Source organism: Homo sapiens, chromosome 10 (assembly GCF_000001405.40).
Source record: "Homo sapiens chromosome 10, GRCh38.p14 Primary Assembly".
In the NCBI taxonomy this organism is placed as follows: Eukaryota; Metazoa; Chordata; class Mammalia; order Primates; family Hominidae; genus Homo; species Homo sapiens.
The window spans coordinates 115,788,698-115,808,666 of record NC_000010.11 but is presented as its reverse complement, the minus strand read 5'-3'; the positions used below and the strand labels follow the sequence as shown (position 1 = coordinate 115,808,666).

Here is a 19,969-nt window from a genome sequence, read left to right as displayed (position 1 = left end):
AACTGAAAATTTTGCACATTGCTAGTGGGAATGCATAGCGGTGCCGCCCCTTTGAGAACAGTTTGGCAGTTTCTCATAAAGTTGCACATATACCTAGCCATACAATCTAGCAGTACTATTCCTGGACTTTTACGTAAGAGAAATGAAATCATGTGTCTACAAGAAGACCTATAAACACATGCTCATAGCAGCTTTTATTCATAATAGCTCCAAACTAGAAACAAGCCAAAAGTCCATAAACTGATGAATGAACGAATTATGAAATATCCATAATCAGGATATTTTATTTACTTATAATAAAAAGAAATCTACTTTCTTACAATAAAAAACTTTCTTCCTAGCACTGGTTTAAGTATTCTACACTGAAAAAGACATCATTTGGACAAAGTCATTTATGTCATTTCCAACATGAAAACACGATAAATTTGCAACATCTTTCGAATAATGTCTTTCTCACTCCAGTCCACTTAAACCAGTACTAGAAAGGGGGAAAAACAGATAAATTTGTTACTAAATATATTTTAATCATTTTATTAACATTTGTTTCAATCACTTATTGTTACTTAATGAAAAATAATAGGTGAATAATACACACAGCGAAGATAAATCATATAAGATGGAATGATAAAAGGTAGTACTCTTCCAACTACCTTCTTCCCCACTTCACATACACACAAAAAGAACAAACCCCTGAAAACTAGGGAGGCTGTAATTGTAAGAGAAACCTTTAATTAACTCGGGAAATTAAAACCGACTTTTATAAGGCAGTCCTAGTAACAAGACACGCTCAGATGAGCACATAAACACATAATAAAGAACAAGAAGCTATTTCAGGTATGTCATTGACTAGGCAGCATTTACATGCAGTTCAAAGGAAGCTAGAACTAAAATTTGTTAACGCTATTAACTAGATAAACAATAGAGTCAAAGCAGTAGGCCTTAATTCTATCTTGTATTATATCTTTATTTCAGTGGCAATACATATTGATTGTAGAATGAACATAAGCATGACAATGAAAAGGCAACCACATTCTGAAAATCCTGCCACCCTTTCAATGTGGTTGAGGTGCAGATCTAAATGCGAGTAATTTCTGTGTTTCTTTTTATATCCTGGTCAATTGCTAACATTCTTCCAAATATTTTCTCAACAATTTCTGAAATCTCAGCAAGAGAAATCCTTTTACTCATGGGGTAAAATTATCAGACACTTGAATTTGGTACCCATAGTATTCACTTAAAAGTATATTGAGTAGGCCAAGTGAAATTGCTCACACCTATAATCCCAGCACTTTAGGGGCTGAGGCAGATGGACTGCTTGAGGCCAGGAGTTTGAGAACAGCCTGGCCAACATGATGAAGATCCGTCTCTGCTACAATTACAAAAATTAGCCAGGTGTGGTGACACACGCTTGTAATCCCAGCTACTCGGGAGGCTGAGGTATGAGAATCACTTGAACCCAGAAGGCAGAGTTTGCAGTGAGCTGAGATCATGCCACTACACCACTGCACTCCAGCCTGGGCAACAGAGCGAGACTCCATCTCAAAGAAAAAAAAAAAAAAAAGTACCTGAGTACAACGACATGCATTCATTGGAGTTCCTGGTAACTCACTTAAAAAGGACTCAGAAAAACAAAGCAAAATTTGCAAATATTTTAAAAACTTAAATTTGTCACCTTAAGATTTGACTCCAGAGGTTGCAGAAAGGGATAGCTAAAGTAAGATGATTTTTCTTAAATGTTAATACTGATGAAAAAACAGATGCTAATTGCTGTTAATGCCTGTGTAGTACTTTGTATATACCAGGTACTATGCATATTAACTAATTTAATCCTCATACGAACCCTATAAGTGTTATTATAATTTGCATCTTAAACATAAAGAGGTACAGCAGGTTAAGTAAATTGTTCAAAGTCTCATGCTAGTAATGGCAGAGCCAGATTTTAAACTCAGGCAGTCTGTTTCTAGAATTTACCTTCTTAACCATTAAACAACACTGATCTGACAAATTTCATATTCTAATCAATTAATTAATGTATATTATATGAAAGTTGATCATTTTTAGATGGCCCTGTTTCTTTGTCAAATTTGCCTTAAGAATTGAGAAGCTTTATAGAATTATAAAAAAAGGAAACCTGTGCAGTTTAATTTATTCTGATGAATTTTAGTGACTTGCAACTGTAGCATATATTTATTCTTGCCGGCCACCCCCTCTTTCATTTTATTAATTTCCTACAGGAAATTGCAAGTTAATAGAAAAAGCAGCACTGGAACTGCCTCACATCCTATAGTAATTAATTAAAGCAAAGTCTGGCTCAGTAACTTTGGATACTAAAAATATAGAGTTAAACAAAGCTGACTGCCTCTTGAAATGAAATTTCAACTTCAATAGTCTGTCTAAAAAATTTATGCATTAAAATCCACATCTTTCCTTAAAGAAATTCTCCACAAAATATTTAGTGAATACAGCAACTCAATATCTGACCGTTCCTCACTAAGACTTCAGAAGTAAAAGGAATCCAAGAAACACAGAAATAAATTACTGAAGTTTAAGTAAGTTCTTTTAAAGGCAGTTAGGCACATTATTCCACTATATTCCCATCTACAGGTTATTACCCACAATCAATAAAGCAAGAGACTGTATAAACTATCTTATTAATTTTATATAATGGTTAGTAAACTTTAAAATACTGTACTATAAAACTTTTAAATGTTTCTGATGGCTTTAGATCACACTAGATAATTTATCGTTTTATGTAGCATAAAGTGTTAGGTAAGTGGATACCATGCTGGGGAAAATGCACGTAATTTCTGAATGCAAAAATCTATTCCATTGTAGAGTTTTCTGACATGATTTAAGGTTATTATTGGGATGATTTTTAGAATCTAGGTCCATAAAAGTCCCTAAGTGACAAACATACCAGATACAACTTTTAGTCACACAGGCTGCCTACCTGTACTTGTATTATCTTCCCCATAACCCCCAACCCTAACCCTGGTTTCTTCTACAGCTGAAGAAACAGAACCCTGACAAGTTTAAGGTGCTTTTTGGTTCTGTGATACTACATAGAACTAAGCTCCCTGATGCTCTTCTCACTGAACTCTTAGTATAACAGAGTCAAGTAGGTGATGCTGTCATGGAGTGAAACAGATGGAAATAGTAGTAAATGTTTGATTTAATACAACTAAGATATGAGTGGTAGGAAGTTCCAATTTATGTAACCATTATTTTACGGGTTTATGAAAACTTACCTTACATAATTTTAAATGGTGACAGAGAGAGAATGGACCTGCAGAAGTGGGTAGCTCCAAGATGTAAAGAAATGTAAAAGTCATGGCATTGTTTACAAAAAAATGCAGCATCTTGAAGCCAACACAATTTGCTTTCACAAGTGAGTGAATCATCCAAGAATAACCTCCGAATGGCCTCTTTTGGGACAGGCAAAACTTCCCAATATCAAGGGAATAGAATGGACTAATAGGATTACAGATAAGTCACATTGGATTCTTGGGCTAAATAACCAAGGGGCTGCTTCTTCTACGATTAGGAGGTAGAATTAGGAGGGGAATGTTTGGGTGTAGAATTGTACCCCTTGAAAAATAACTCCTAGAATTTTACATATTTACCTAAGAGGCATGCTGTGCTGAACTCGATCTTCACCCACTCAATACACAAATGTAGCACATACACATAGTTTGCAAATTATTCTTTAGACTTAACGAAAATGTTGTTAGACTAACCTACAAAACTATAGACTAAACTATAACTTAGACTAATCTTCTTTAAAAGAAATTAAGATATATTCCCAAGAAGTTATAAAGAATACATTCTTTACATATGAAATAATAGTTCCAATTAACTCCCCTGTGATCTTAATATGTTTCCTACTTGGGAGAGGTATAGAGGAGAGGAAACCTACCTCCACTACGTGATGTTACAACCCACTGAAAGTCTTGGTTTTTATTTTAAGGATCCTTGAGCCTTTGTTGTTTGTGGTACGCATGTGTCTCCGTCAGTTCAGGCTATCATAACAATTTAGCATAAACTGGGCGGCTTAAACAACAAACGTTTATTTTTCACAGTTTTAGAGGCTGAAGAGACCAAGATCAAGGCACCAGTAGGTTCAGTGTCTTGCAAGGGCACTCATCCTACTTTGCACATGGCTGTCTTCTCATTGTACCCTCACGTGGCAAAGAGCAAAGAGCAGGAGCCAGGTCTCTGTCTCTATTAGTAAGGGCACTAATGCCATTTATGAGGGCCCCAACCTCATGACCTAACCACCTCCCAGAGGCCCTGATTCCTAATGCCATCACATTGAGGGTTAGGATTTCAACATATACACTGTAAAGGGACACAAACATTCAGGCCATAATAGCATGAATTCAAGTATTTTGTGTGTCCTGGGGAGATGTTAGTCAAATAGATAATCAAGAAAGTAAGTTTAAAAGGCAATGCATCAAAGTAGTTAAGAGCCCCAATTAGGGAGTAGTATACAAACCTGGATCTAAGTTCTGGATACTTTTTACTTGCTACATGTTTTGGACCTTCTATTTAACCTCTCTAAATGGAGTTTTGTTCCTTTCTGAAGTAATGATAACAGTTACTGTAAAAATTAAAGAAGATAATTATGTGACATTCTCATATGTACCTGGAATATAGTAAAAACTAATTAAATGTCAGTGGTATGAGTCAAAATCGTTCATTTACAATGCATAACAATTACTAATTATTAAACAGATGTACTGTAGTCCATAGATATCTCGTCATCTTTATGCGTATTGGCCAGGCCATGATCCCAAGTACCAAGGAGATGTTAATGAGTGCAGAAAAACACAAGACATGAAACTGGAATAAGTTAATATGTTCATAACAAAGTATACCCATTCTGACTTTGCAGTTAAAAGAGTTTATTTATATGTTAGTAACCATGGTTAAAATTTCCATAAAAGAAAAAAACATGGAAAAATGGCCTATAGTGAGAATTTCACTAGGATTCATTCTGTAGTAAGGAATGTACCGAATCAAAAAGATATATAAAAAGCCCATTTGCTTAAAATGTTAAAAAAAAAACACAAAAAAACCCAAACTTCTAAAACAAAAATTATGCAAGAATAAAGTTTCCTCCATATCTCTAATGGAAACTATACATCAGGAAAAACTAAAAATAGAATGTGATTCTATTTGTTCTCATTAACAGTTTACATAGTGATGTTTATCTGCAAGGTCACATAAAATCATAAATGTAGTCTATTTAAAAATGTAGTCCTTATTCATATTTCAGAAATGGCTTAATTTACCTTTTACTTTCATGACTGTTGTAAATTTGTGTTAATGCAATATATTATATCCTTCAGGAAAAAAACCACTTAAAAATATTAACATAAATTTTATTGAATGAGGATTTGAACCAAAATAATCTTGCCAAATTAATTTAGGTAAGTATACTAGGTAAATAAATCTGCACCCTTTTACTTCTAGAAAGCATTCCAAGCAATTTCAAGTCATTAAAAATACTTTCAGCTGCAGCATTTTGCCTTTTAGTGTGGTCTTAGTGGTTACATGACAGCATTTCTAGTACTGGCTGTGTGGCTTTTATTATGTCCTGATAGTAGCAGCATTTTAGAAAACTACAAAGAAAATGAAATTCAGGTGTAATTTTGGAACAAGTCTTCTAAAATTGTTAAATCAAAAATGACACAAATGTTGCAAGCTGTTGAAAATTCTAATTTCATATATTCTTTTTGCCTGTCAATGGGAAATGAACCCTTCCTAAAAGGACATGTAAAACAGGTAACAAATTGCAAAGGAGTAAGGAGCCCCTGGATAATATTCTGGAAAAGTTTTACTAATTTATCTGATTTGCTGATTTATGGATTAGCCTTATAGGCTTCTGACTTAATTTCTTTTAAGTTAACAAACGTCTCATATAGATGAATGTCATTTTGTTTCATATCTATTTAGACTAAAAGCCAAGTCCCACAAGGCAAGAGATAGTCAATTATTTTCATTTTATACTGTTATTATGAAATATTGCCATTTTAAAAATGTACTTCTGGAGAATGAGATTTGTTCACCAACATATTTTAAAGTGAATTTTAGGTGTCTAAATGCCAGAGAGAAAATAATGTAATCTCAAAACATAACTTCAAATGAATTGTATTTATAATGATTTTGTAATTTTTTCATTAAGTTTTCCCTCACAAAAATGATCAATTCTTTTTTTCCACTTCTGTGCTTACTATGACATGCTTCTGAGAGTTAGCATCCCTTCTTTTCAAATAAAAGTATGATGGACATATGGATTCTATATGATAGAGTGGAGAAACTTCCTCCCTGGGCAGAATCAGACCTTTAGTTTACTTTCATAAGTTTGAGAGGAAATGGCTTCAATCACTTGCCTGCTGAATGGTAGCTTTCCCAGAATATCAACAAAATCAGCTTTTTATAGCCTGTCATATGACAGAGCTGAGTTCATTGTTTACCACCATAGGGGAGACAGCTTCCTTGACATGGCCTTAGTAGTCTCTGGGAGGAGGAAGGCAAAGTCGGGATATTTAAGAGAATTTAGGTGTGTGTGTGTGGTGGTGGGGGGCGGAAGGTAGAAATTCTGTTTTTTTTTGTTTTGTGTGTGTGTGTGTGTGTGTGTGTTTCTTTTTTTTTTAAGGCAAGTTTTTCCATAGGGGAGCATTTGATTGTGTGTCAGTAATGCTGACACTAATGTCTTAACATTGGTTAAGACACTACATAATAATTTAAGTTTGGAAGACACACAAGCTGAAGGTTTCACAATGAATTTTGGAGCATAAACATTCATCTGATGCTAACTGTGAAAGTTGAATTATTTAATATTCCTTTAAATGAATTTTCAAAAAGTTTCTGAAAGGGACAAGAAAATCATTTGCTATTTTTATCTTCCAAGGCAAGAGTTTCTTGGAATAGTAAAATCATGTTGATGAAGACAGTAGGACAGTAAAGTCATGTTAACAAAGACAGCTAAAAAGTAAAGTCATGTTAATGTTGACACTAAGCTGTGTGAGTGTAGATCATTTTGGTTTGCAACCAATACAGTCCCAAACAATATTCCCCATCCACAAGTTAAATACTTACAGGGTTTAGAAAGTGAACAATGGTTAACCACATAATCTGCATTTCAAAGATAATAATACCCCAATATTTTTATTGCAAATAAAGGGCAGAATGGTTAAGTACAGTTGGAAGCAAAATAATTTGCTGAAATTTCAGAACTTTTTATACTAGTAGTTTTAGTTTTCTCTTCCTCTCACTGATCTTTACTCTCTTTCTCTCCTTACTTGTTTCCTCTGTGGCAAGGTACCCTATTCCACCTTAAGTGGAATAAAGATTTTCAAGTGGCCATAAAGATTGTAGTTCCTAGTGGACTCATATTTCCTCAAGGTCAAAACAGGCAATCATTTAAAGTCAGACGAGACAGGGGGTTAACTAGTATACCATTATCAGAGGTCTGAGTCACTAATGAACGGAAAATACAGGGTGTTAAAGCAAGACAGGAAGGGTTATCCTCACCAAAGAAAAGGAACAGACTAGGACTACAGATGGGCAAGCCTGTGTTTAGGTGCAGACAATGACTAGGAAGACAAAAACTTTTCCATTTAGTTCAATGACTGGAAGATGGGGATGTGAACCTGTTTCTGAAGACAGGCCTGAGAAGAAGACCTGTATTTTCCTTAGAGAATAACAAGTTACAGTTTTCACCTGCTCTGACTGCTACAACACAGTGTCATAGACTGGGGTGGCTTAACCAACAGACATTTATTTCTTGTAGTTCCGGAGGCTGGGAAGTCCTAGATCAGGGAACCTGTGTGGCTAGGTTCTGGTGATGACTCTCCTCCTGGCTTGCAGATGGCTGCCTTCTTGCTGTGTCCTCACATGACAGAAAGAGAGAGAGAAAACTCACCCTCATGACCTCATCTAAACCTAATTACCTTCCTGAAGCCCCACTTCTTAATACCATCACATTGGGGGTTAGGGCTTCAAGCTATGCATTTCGTAGGGACACAAAAACTCAGTCCATTAATGGTCATGGTAGGAGCCTCTGGTGCAGGAGATAAGCAGGGCAGGTGCAGAGATAAAGGACAGGCTAGAAGCAACTCTTTCCTGCGGGGGAATCAGACCTCTGGGGTTGAAAAAAACAGATGGTAACATACTTCATTTACTTTTCTGTCAAACATATCTTTCTCCCCTTCTCTTTCTGTTTCTTTCCCTACTTTTCTTCTCCACTGTCTCTTTCCTTCCTTTCTTTGATCATTAAATTGAAGTATAGCAGAAATATGACAAGTATGGCATTAGAGTGAGACAGGCTTGAATGTAATTCTTAGGTCTGTCACCTGTCACTTAGCTGTACAAGGCACAGCTCTTGGGCAAGAGACATTTCTTTTCTTAGCATCAGATTCTTCTTCTTTTTTTTTTTTTTGAGATGGAGTTTTGCTCTTGTTGCCCAGTCTGGAGTGCAATGGAGCCATCTTGGCAACTTCAACCTCCATCTCGTGGGGTTCAAGCGATTCTCCTGCCTCAGCTTCCTGAGTAGATGGGATTACAGGCACGCACCACCACGTCCAGCTAATTTTGTATTTTTAGTAGAGACAGGGTTTCTCCATGTTGGTCAGGCTGGTCTTGAACTCCTGACCTCGGGTGATCCACCCGCCTCGGCCTCCCAAAGTGCTGGGATTATAGGTGCGAGCCACCATGCCCAGCTCAGATTCTTTACTAAAAGAAGAAAAGTATCAGTACCCATTACCATACAGGTTACTGTGAGCATTAGAGATAAAGCCTGTAAAGTGGCTGGCAGAGTATCTGATATTGAAAGATTTTTAGAAAATGATACAACAAAACTGCCATAATGCAATAAGTAGTGCCCCAGAAATTCAGCTGTGTAAAATGTAGGGTTGTGTTATTATGAGATTAGCTAAATGGCCAAGGTGAGCCTGTGCAACTGGACATCTGGAAGTTCTGAGTCTATTTGATGCAAATTTCACCTACCCTGGGCTGAAGTTCGGCACCACCTAGTGGTGACTGCTCTAACATAAAAATTGATGGGCAGAATTCTGGGGCCTGGCTGGGACTTCTGGGAGAGCAACTGTGATTCCAGGAATCTCTTCGTTAATTGGTGAATGTTTTGTTGGCCTGATCCAGAGAGAATGGGCTGGGAGAATACTGGGAACTAACCCCCACCTCTCTGTTTCCTGAAATAGGATTGTCTGATTTTTCCCTGTCCAGCATCCCCATGAGGGAGAGGCCTCTATGTTCCCTTCTCCTTCCTGAGAAAAGGAATCAGGTAGAGGAGAAAAAGCTGCTTTCCAATCATTCCATGTTTCAATTCAAGCTATTCTAATTTGCATTATTGCCAGGTGTGTTATTGTAGAATTTACTACCATTACAATTAATAATATGAGTTGCATTAATAACGTTAAATTCAACAAGCATGTATTAAGTCCATATTGTGTGCAAAGCAAAGAGACAGGTATTATAAATGTAAAGATAAATAAGACAGGATCTCCGACGTAAAGAAAGCTTATTACTGGTGTCTCACGCCTGTAATCCCAGTACTTTGGAAGGCTGAGGTGGGCGGAACACGAGGTCAGGAGTTCAAGACCAGCCCGGCCAACATAGTGAAATCCCATCTCTGCTAAAAATTAAAAAATTAGCCAGGCATGGTGGCACGTGCCTGTCGTCCCAGCTACTGGGGAGGCTGAGGCAGGAGAATCACTTGAGCCCAGGAAGCGGAGGTTGTGGTGAGCTGAGATCGCGCCACTGCACTCCAGCTTGGTCAACAGAGCGAGGCTCCGACTCAAAAAAAAAAAAAAGAAAAAAGAAAAAAAAGAAAAAAAAAGCAACCTCATTACTTGGTGGACAGAGAGATATTTAAGTAAAACTGAAACCAAGTAAGTAGTTTATTCTAATTGGAGAGATCAAGAAACATTTCAAGAAGAACTCCATTGGAGTTGAAATTGGAATGAAAAGTTAGCCCTCAAGTTCTGAGACTGAACAAATATCCTCCAGGATGAGCAAAGGCATGGAGGTGTAGATGAGCAGGTGATGGTCTGTAACAGGACAAAACCAGTTTAGTCAGCATATGGGGCAGATCATTTTATGGCATTTCTGAACATAACATAGGGTCCCATACTTCTGCATTTTGGTATGGTGCATGAAAGCCACACAATGGGTCTTCTGAGTAAGAACACACAGTCAGTTATGTTTGAGACTTGAGCTCCAGCAGTGCTGAGGGCAACAGGCAGTGGTATGGGGAGCAGAGAGCTTTGAGGCAGGAAGTTAGAAGCCTCCTGTAACAGGTGAGAGAGCAGGAATCTCACCTAGGCTAACTAAATTTGGAAAAGAGAAGGTGGAACAAATTCCAGAAACAAGATTAGTGATGTGGGGAAAGGTAGGTGGGGTGTGGAGTAAAAAGAAGTCTCTGAGAGGCTGGGCGCGGTGGCTCCTGCCTGTAATCCCAGCACTTGGGGAGGCCGAGGTGGGCGGATCACAAGGTCAGGAGATCGAGACCATCCTGGCTAACACGGTGAAACCCCGTCTCTACGAAAAATACAAAAAATTAGCCGGGCGTGGTGGCAGGTGCCTGTAGACCCAGCTACTCAGGAGGCTGAGGCAGGAGAATGGCGTGAACCCGGGAGGCAGAGCTTGCAGTGAGCGGAGATCGTGCCACTGCACTGCAGCCTGGGCAACAGAGCGAGACTCCGTCTCAAAAAAAGAAAAAAAAAGGTCTCTGAGAAAATTAGACTGTCTCACTGAAGTATTTGCAACATTGACTGAGAAGAATTTGCATTTGCTCCTGCCACTGCCTGCAACATCTCAGCCCAGATAGCCCTATGGCTGGCTCCTGTACTTCTCCCAGATCTTTGCTTGAATGTCATCTTCTTAGTGAAGGCTTTCCTAACCTACTTCAAATTGGAGCCCATTTCTATCCACTACACTGAGTACTCCAAACCCCACTTTCCTGCTTTGTTTATTGATTGTCAAAGGGTTTATCACTACCTAACAGATACTACACACACGTGCACACATACAATTTTTTTTTTAACTGAGTCTTCTGCTGACATGTACATTCCATGATGCAGGGACTTTTTGTCTGTTTTGTTCATTCTAATATCCCCAGTGTCAGTCCAAAAATTGGCAGAAGAAGCCTTGCAGTTGGTGGGCTGTGGATGCCTGCACCCCAGCCCTTCCTTCTGCCCCAGGTGAGCCTTCAGGTGCCTATAAAAGTTGATACCTGCTTGGTGAGTATCCCAGTGCCTGAGTGTAAAATTAAATTGCAAATTAAAAAACACTATTCGAAAGGCCAGGAGAGAGACCACGGAAGAAAGGAAAAGGTGTCATATTTTAGGACTTTTAAAGGCCTATTTTTCCTACTTTTTGAACAAGAGGCCCTGCATTTTCATTTTGTACTGGGCCCCACAAATTATGTTGCTGGCCTGAGTTGTCTAATAACTACATTTTGAATAAATGAACAAACTTCCCAGAAAAGACACAAATAAAAGCTTGTTCCTGCCATTAACAGGAACTAAAAGTCAAGGTCCCTATATTTTAGAATAAAGCCTTTATGTTTGTTATTCCTATGTAATGCTTCAGTCCAAATATCATTTAATTATCTTTTTGTTTATTACATTTCTTGGAGGAGCTATAAGGTTGAAACTATATGGAAACTAATTCACTTGCCTATATTATGAAAATGGAAGAAAGAAGGCATAATTCTGATCAATGATTTTTGATACTAATTAAGAATAAAAGCTCTACATCTAATGAACATTGCTCTTTTTAAGTTTATGATTTCAAAATAAATCAATAGATTTAATTTATATTGTTAGCAAATTGTATATAGAAGGGTTAGCCCCCATGAAAAGGCTTCATTTTGTTACATTTTTTCAGAAAGATCCTCTTTGGAGGACAACTGGCCAAACTGCTTATGATTTACTTTCCTTTCGAAAATAATGCTCAAAGGGTTTGACTGAGATCACTGATAAGAGCCAAAGACTGGAATTGCTTAAGTTCTCAGCTTTCCACTTGAATGAGGTTAATTTAACAAGCATTTATTGCACTGCTACCTACCTCTATGAATCAGATACTTTGTTAAGAACTGAGAATAAAAAGATGGAAAAAATGTGGTTCCTTCGGCCATGAACTTCAGTCCAGTGGGTGAGAAAGATGTGTTAAGTTAAAATATTGCATGAGCTTTTCCCCTTCCCCTTCCCTTTTGCTTCCTTTTGCTTACCTGTTTCAACAATTTAGTCCTAAAGCCATTAGGGGCAGCAGAGCAAGGTAGGTGTCCAGATTAGGTGGGAAGGGGAAACCATGGTGTGCCAGAACACGCATCAGAGCCCCATTGGGGTGAGGAGGTACATGTGAAGGAGGGCAGACGTGGCATCAGAACATGAGTGGGGTGGAAAAGGCAACCGCATATGGCAGTTGCCTGTTTTAAAGCTGTCCCAAGCAGGGTGATGACGGCATCTCCACAGAGAGGCAGCCTGGCATGAAGTGTCTGAGAGCCAGCAGAGTGCAGCATGTTGTGGCCCATGTGGGGATCCAAAGCCTGAGTGAGGTGAGATGTGTGTGCATTCAGGGGACAACTCTGCACAGGGATTTGGAGTTCAGGTGCCCAGGCAGAGTGAGGAGGGAAGCTAGATGTGGGAGTGATCTGGCACTCAGCACAAGGGCATTAGCAGGATAAGGAGGGATCCGTGTGGGGCAGAAGCCAGCCCAGCATGGGTTTTGGAGATTGAATGGGGGATGATATGGTTTGGCTCTGTGTCCCCACCCAAATCTCACGTTGAATTGTGATCCCGAGTGTTGAAGGTGGGGCCTGGTGGGAGGTGATTGGATCATGGGGGTGGTTTCCAGTGGTTTAGCACTTCGCACCATCCCTCTAGTGCTGTCTCATGATAGAGTTTGCAAGAGATCTGGTTGTTTCAAAGCATTTAGCACCTCCTCTTTTGCTGTCTCTCTCCCTCTCCTGCCAGCCATGTAATGATGCACTTGCTTCCCCTTAGCCTTCCACCATGATTGTAAGTTTCCTGAGGTCTCCCCAGAAGCAGAAGCCTGTATAGCACACAGAACCATGAGCCAATTAAACTTCTTTTCTTTATAAATTACGCAGTCTCAGGTATGTCTTTATAGCAGTGTGAGAACGGACTAATACATGGGAGACTGGAATCTGCACTGGGGATGGGAGGAAAGCTGAGACCAGGAGACTGGTCACATAAAAGGAGGCTTTATTTTTGACTCAATACATTAAGGATAATGGAAACCGGGTTCATCACCTAATTAGGTAAAGGAGTTATAAATATGGGAACAGATAAATGAACCTTGGATTCTGGATCAGAATTTTAGCCATTTATATAAACTCATGGTGTTCAGTATATAGACAGAGAAATAAATATACATGTAAATGTATATATACATAGCTATGTTTTCCAGCTCTGTCTACAGAGAGGCCTGGAAGCAGCAATACCTCAATAGCAATGAGCACACCTAATGTCAGATTGTGGCTTCTAAATACCATTTTCCACTAAAAGAAACCAGGACTTTCTGGAGAAATCACTGAGGCATAGAAAGTACAAGATGAGACTGGAATATCTTGTGCCAGAAAGTAAAGAAATGCTCAAAGAATATAGAGACTTTTCAAAAGGACACAGAAGCCATCTTAAAGGGGCCTCTCAGATCTGGGACAATTTGAGCATCAAAATAATGATAGTAACAGATTATTATTCAGTGAATAAAATAGGAAGGTGTCATATAAATAAGGAAATATTAAATTGAAAGTTTGATAAGGAATGGGAGGTTTACATAGTTTAATAGTGTTTCCCATAAAGAACTTATTAATTGTACAAAGGAAAATAATAATTTTATATTGAAGAAAACACTACCTTATGCAAATGATTAAAGCAAACATCATCAGCAATGCACAAGATGACATTGTGCACATCCCAATAGGATGCAATGAAAAGAATATAGAATCACTTTTGCTGAAGTGAATATCACCACTAAAGATTACATTACCTGGATGTAATCATGAGGAAACACTGAACAAATCCAAATTGAGGGACATTCTAAAATCCATTATAAAATAATTATTCAAAATTATCAAGCCCATGAAAGTCAAGGAAAGACTGTGAAACTGTTGTATACTGAGGAAACTAAATGCAACGCATGATTCTAAACTAGATTCTTTTGCTATAATTTTGCTGTAAATGGAAAAATTGCTGTAACTTGAATGGAGTCAGGATTAGGTGGTAGTCGTACATCAGTGTTAATTTCTCCATTTTGATGGCTACATTGTGGTTATGTGGAAAATGTTCCTTTTTTAGGAGATATACATCAAAGTATTAGGAGATAAAAGGGTGTCAGGTGGCAAATTACTCTGAAATGGTATGAGGAAAAAAATTCTTTATATATACTTGTAAATACTTTTTTGTAAATTTGTGATTGTTTAAAAACAGGCATGCATACTGTGTCACAAGGCCTGAGTTTTCTTGTGCATGCAAAGTAGAGCAAATGTTAATCCCAAATCCAAATAGTCCGACTTCTTTAGGATTGTCTCATAAACCGTTTGATGCACACTTGTCTACTTGTTCAACACTGGCTGAGAGCCAATAACTTTATGATCAATATCATTATGACATTGTTGTCTTCCATCAATAAAGCTTTGTTTTTCTAAGTAGCTGTACTGAGATTTAATTCACATACCATAAAATCAACATGTTTAGAGTGGATGCACATAGTTCATTGATTTTTAGTATAATCACAGAATTGTGCAACCATTGTTGTCATGTAATTATAGAACATTTTCATCACCCACCACAAAGAAAAATCCCACACTCATTGGGATTATCAATCAGTCATTCCTCATTTGCACCCTTATTCATCGTAGTTTTAAAACTTAATTCAGTTTCTATTGGTCCAAGGTGTGATGGTACATAAATATAGTGGGTAGTCAATAAATATTTGATGAATGAATCAATTGCCAACTAATTGGTATTACAGCTATTCGACTGGCATCTTTATGGTTCTTTCTCATCTGCTACTTTCCATGTTTTTATTAAAACCAAAGTGGTCCTCAAGCATCGTTATTATTAAACTAAATGAAGCTTTCAGCTTCGTTCAAAGTTATTTTATAAAATCCATGGTATTAATATTAACTTTATTGTGGTTTAATATAGATAATGAGCTACTATTATATGAATATATTTTGGAAAGTGTTGAGGCTGCTTTAACACAGATAATAATCATCAGCATATCTGAACTTACAACCTTTGCCAGATGGGCAACCTACCATCATTTTCTATGATGAGAGACTACATAAAATTCTTCACATGCCAGATAAGTTTATTACATGATTGAGTTGAAGTTGAATATATAAAAGAAGACATTTCTTCAAATATAACCTTATGACCAAAAATCAGTAGGGCACAGATAATGACTAACCATACAATTATTAAAAATACTATATTTTATTTTCATTGAAGTCTTGCAACAAGACTTTCTTTTCATAATCAGTTCAGTGCCGAACCCTTAAAAATGGTGAAATTATTATTTTGTGGTAGTGATGAAAAAATGTTTAAGCCTCTTCTTTAAAGCATCTCCTTAAAGTTTTACTACTTATATGGAAAAAATCATTTGTATATTTGTATTCTTCCAAATACTACTTATTCTAAATATCTGGCAATAACATGTCTCTCAAAGAACTGGATCAGTCTGCCACTGAAGCTAGGTACCCTCTAGAAAGAATGATTTTTTTTTCAAACTGAAAATAGATATTTCAGTTATATTTTTAGAAGTAGAGTTCTGTGTATATTTTTGCCTATTTGAACTTAACCGTATTGAGCAGAGGATATAATAATTTTAGCTATCAGTTAAAAACCTGTTCTTTGAATGAAGAAATAAATGAAAAATGCTGAAGCTAATAAATGAAAAAACTAAAGAAAAACTTATATTTTTTTCATATAACATTTTGAATATCCTTTATCAAAAGAGCTTCTAGACTATCTATGGATAATTTACTGCTCCACAACTTTTGTTTCTGGTAAAATGCAGCCAATGTAGAGAAAAGGCAGAACACTGATAAAATGCTACAAAAGAAGTTAATTTAGATATATACTGCTACACTTACTGCATACTGTTTTAGATAAGTAAAACGGCAATATTCTCAACAGAAGATTTAGATGCTACACCCAATATATGTTGATAGTGTAGTGATTGCCCAATCTAAGAATTCATTTCAGGGGCCAGTGACACAGTGATTACAGCTATTGTAGAACTCAGATTATAGCTGAATGATACATCTAGTTCTAACAACATAAAAAGAAAATGAGTACAGTTCTCTGGACTCTGTAGCGTACAAAAGAAAGGTGGACATTGTTCCACTGAAAATTCTGTAGAATAGAATAATAGCTAACTTCAACTAGATGAGGATGAAGGATACTTGCAAATAGGCAGCAGTCCCAATGATGATAAAGTTTCATTTGCATAACCTCTGATTACTCATTTTGATTGTATATGAAATGATTGAGCACATTATCAAAACAAAGTGAGATCATCTGTGAAGCAGTATGCTTGCTGAAATCTTTGGAATAAATCTAAATGGAAATTGTACATGGGATAACTGTAAGCAAAGCAAAGTCACTCTGAGGATTGTACCAGAGAACAAAAAGTTTGGCTGTCCAGATAAGCATGAGGTTTTCTGTTACTAGAATAGGTAACAAATAGCAGAAACTCTATAACTATTTAAATTTGTTTCAGGAATGAAAGAAATTACCTATTTTCATTAAAATTTGATTACCTTGGTCAGTTGATTCTGACTCATATCAAAAGTGAAGACTGTCCTGTTAAGAGAATTGGAGAAGAATCTAAACATCTAGTAGTGGTATGCCAAACTAGGGAAGAAAGGTTGGAAAGAGATGGAAGGTTGGGGGTGAAATAGACAGAGTTAAGAGAGCTGGTGAAGGAAGAGTCAAGTTGCTTGGGCTGAGAATAAGTTTTGGAGTATTCTGGAATAGGTCTAGGAACTCATCTATATACAAAGAGTGCCAGATATCTTAGTCTGTTGTTTTAACTAGAATAAATGACTAAAGTCTGTATTATTATTCACAAATATACATAATTGATAAAATAATAAGAAAACATATGGGAATGACTATCATAAAAGTTGAAACAGTGGTTACCTTTCCGAACACCCAGGGAGCTTCTTATTTCTTAACCTGGGTGGTGATTAGACAGGTGTTTGCTTACCCAGGTGTTTGTTCTAAACTGTGCATATGTATTTTGTACACTCTCCTGTACACATGATATATTTCACAAATAATAATGAGAAAAAGCATAGGTAAGATTATGATGGATGTTATGGAGAAAAATAAGGCAGGAAATGTTGGTGGTTAGAAGTATGTTGGCATGAGGAAGGGGGAAGCACAATTTTATAGGGTCTGGCTCTGCAAGGCCTCACTGAAAAGGTGACATTTGAGTAAAGACTTGAAGCAGGTAAGGAAGTAAGCTATGTGGACCTGGGGGAGAAAAGATTTTCAGCAAAAAAGAGAAGGATATTAAAAAGTCCTGAGACAGGAACATGTATAATATATTCTTCCAAACATCACCATTGTCATTAGACAGATTCTAATTACCACTGATGGATTTTTAGTTTTTATTTATGTCTCTGACTCTTCTGGGTTATCTCACATAAATCATATAGGAACTGCACTGGTTTGGCAGATGGCAGAGTAAGAGAAAATGTGTTCATTTAAAAACCCCCGAACATTTTTAATGCTAACGAACATCTATGTGAAGCTTGAAGTATGTGTAAGAAACTGAGTAAAGAAAATAGGTGCCTTTTAATTCTTTCTACTTTAAGCTTATTAAAAAAGTAGTAGAAGATAGAAAAAAGAGAATAAAGCTAGAAAAGCAGATGAAATATTACCTTAGGCATGGAATTTTTAAAAACATACTGGTCTAGATCTCTCTGACACCAATATATTCAGTTTAAAAGTTTTTTTTTTTTTTTAAGTCAAGTTACAAGTTTCTAAAGGTAAATGAGGCAGAATATTTCATTTTCCTTCACTCTCTCTACCCTCACTCAAATTTACATAATGATCCTCTGGTTGGATATAAGCTTAACTGAATTATTGTTTGGTCACTGTTTAGGAACAGATATTAAATCAGCTAAAATTCAATCGTAACAGAAAGGCCGTAGAGGCCTTGGGGATTTGGAGGAAAGATTTAGTACGTGAGCCTTTTGATATCTGAGAGGTTGCCATTTATTCAGGGTCAGAACCTCCCTGTGGCAGTTCTGGGGAACAGAAACTGTGGGTGGAAGTTAGAATAAGCAAGTCAATTCAAGGAAAGAAGGCTCTTTCAAATAATAAGAGTTTTTTTTTTTTTTTCTTTTTAAACTAACAAGGCTGCTTTGGGGGCCACCACTGGGTAGAGGCTGGGTGACCACTTGTCAGATTGTCCTGCTCTGGAGAGACAATGACAGACCATGCATTCTATGATCTCAAAATTGATTTGGGAAACACATGAAATACACAAATGTACAAGAAAATGTGTCTGAAAAAAATAAAAGCATAGAATATTTAATGGAATACAAATATCTTTATTCTCTGGCTAACAAAACTGTTTTATACTACATTTTAAGAAAAGTCTGCTTATTCTTTGTCTCTTCTATAATTAATGCCTTTAATCTTCTTCTTCACTATCCTTCAATCATGGCTAATTAAAAAAAATAACCTCTTGGTTGTGTATTTATGTTGGATACCCTTTTCCAGAATTTAATCCTCAATTGTACTGGAGCATTTAAACTGCTCAACTCTAATAGCAGATTTGCATTTGTTTTGACTTTTACTTCGAGGCAAAATTTTCCCATAGTTCTAGACATTTTGCCCTGGCGTAGGAAGCAGGGGGTCCTGATTAAAGTAAATGACTAAGACTAGGCAGGAGGAATGATGGGAAAATACAGAGTAGGGCAAAGAAATTTTAAAATAGGAAAAAATGACAAAGGCATTTTCCCAGTTAAATCATTAATTCTTCTGGCGTATTTTCTCTATTCTTGGAAACTCTGACCTAACAGTCCTTAGCTCTCCCAGGCAACTATCTGCGCACAACCCCCGCAGTTGAGCCCTTTCAGCAGTAGTGCTCGGTGCCCTGGGAGGAGCGCAGGGTGCTATTATCAACAGCACCATCAAGCACACTATAATTTGTGCTATGTATCCCCATTTTGAAATGTGTCAGGAGATGCAGCGATTCAGGCTTTTTCATTTTTCTTGACAGCAGACTTAAATTTTTCAGATACAGTACCAACTTTCTCAACAAGTTTTATTTTCTTGTTACTTGAGAGCTAAATTGTTGACTTGCTGTCAGATAAAACAAATTTGCCTATTTCTACCCTTTCTCATTTACATGGGATAAATACTTGGGTAATAAAGAACAAAGAGCCCAATCAGAGGCTTAATTGGGCATAAAACCTGCAGGGACTTCAACACCAAAACCTGCTAACCACAGGAAGCTTTCTGCAAAAGACGAATTCACTGAAACATTTAACTGAAGTTCTGTTACTTAAAGAACTGGTCAGATGCAGTTGAAAAGCAACTAAACACAAGTGGCTTTCCCCACAGAATCCTTTATTTTATAACGTGTGTGATAACACAACATCATAAAAAATCGCCACTCGAGAATGGATTTCATAATACGTTATTTCTAGGAATGAAAGAACTTTGAAGATCACAGTGCTCCTGACAGGGATACAAGTTCATGTGCAGGTTATTATTGGCAATAGGGCAACTGCCCCAACTGCAGCCCTTTGCCACAGTTAGAAAGGCTTCTGACAGCCCTCTCACAGGAGGTTGCTTATAGATTATGTAGGTCTAGTTGATGATTTGTTTTACTGCCTGCCATTCTAACACTGCCAAATGGATTAAGTTTCCTGTCACTTTCCAGGGACTGG

General features: G+C 37.1%; 1 protein-coding gene across 8 annotated transcripts in view, besides 1 other annotated feature; it reads right to left on the bottom strand.

Annotated features, from left to right (window-relative positions):
• The window catches only part of ATRNL1 (attractin like 1), an 855,635-nt gene that overhangs the window by 140,333 nt on the left and 695,333 nt on the right, over positions 1-19,969 (bottom strand). The gene's annotated exons all lie outside the window — the stretch shown is intronic.
• Positions 6,843-7,344: an enhancer, noted in NCBI's record as "NANOG hESC enhancer chr10:117560834-117561335 (GRCh37/hg19 assembly coordinates)". NCBI's record gives its function as "activates a minimal SCP1, AML or CMV promoter by ChIP-STARR-seq in primed H9 embryonic stem cells {active_cell/tissue: H9 hESC(primed)}" and the evidence as "EXISTENCE:reporter gene assay evidence [ECO:0000049][PMID:30033119]".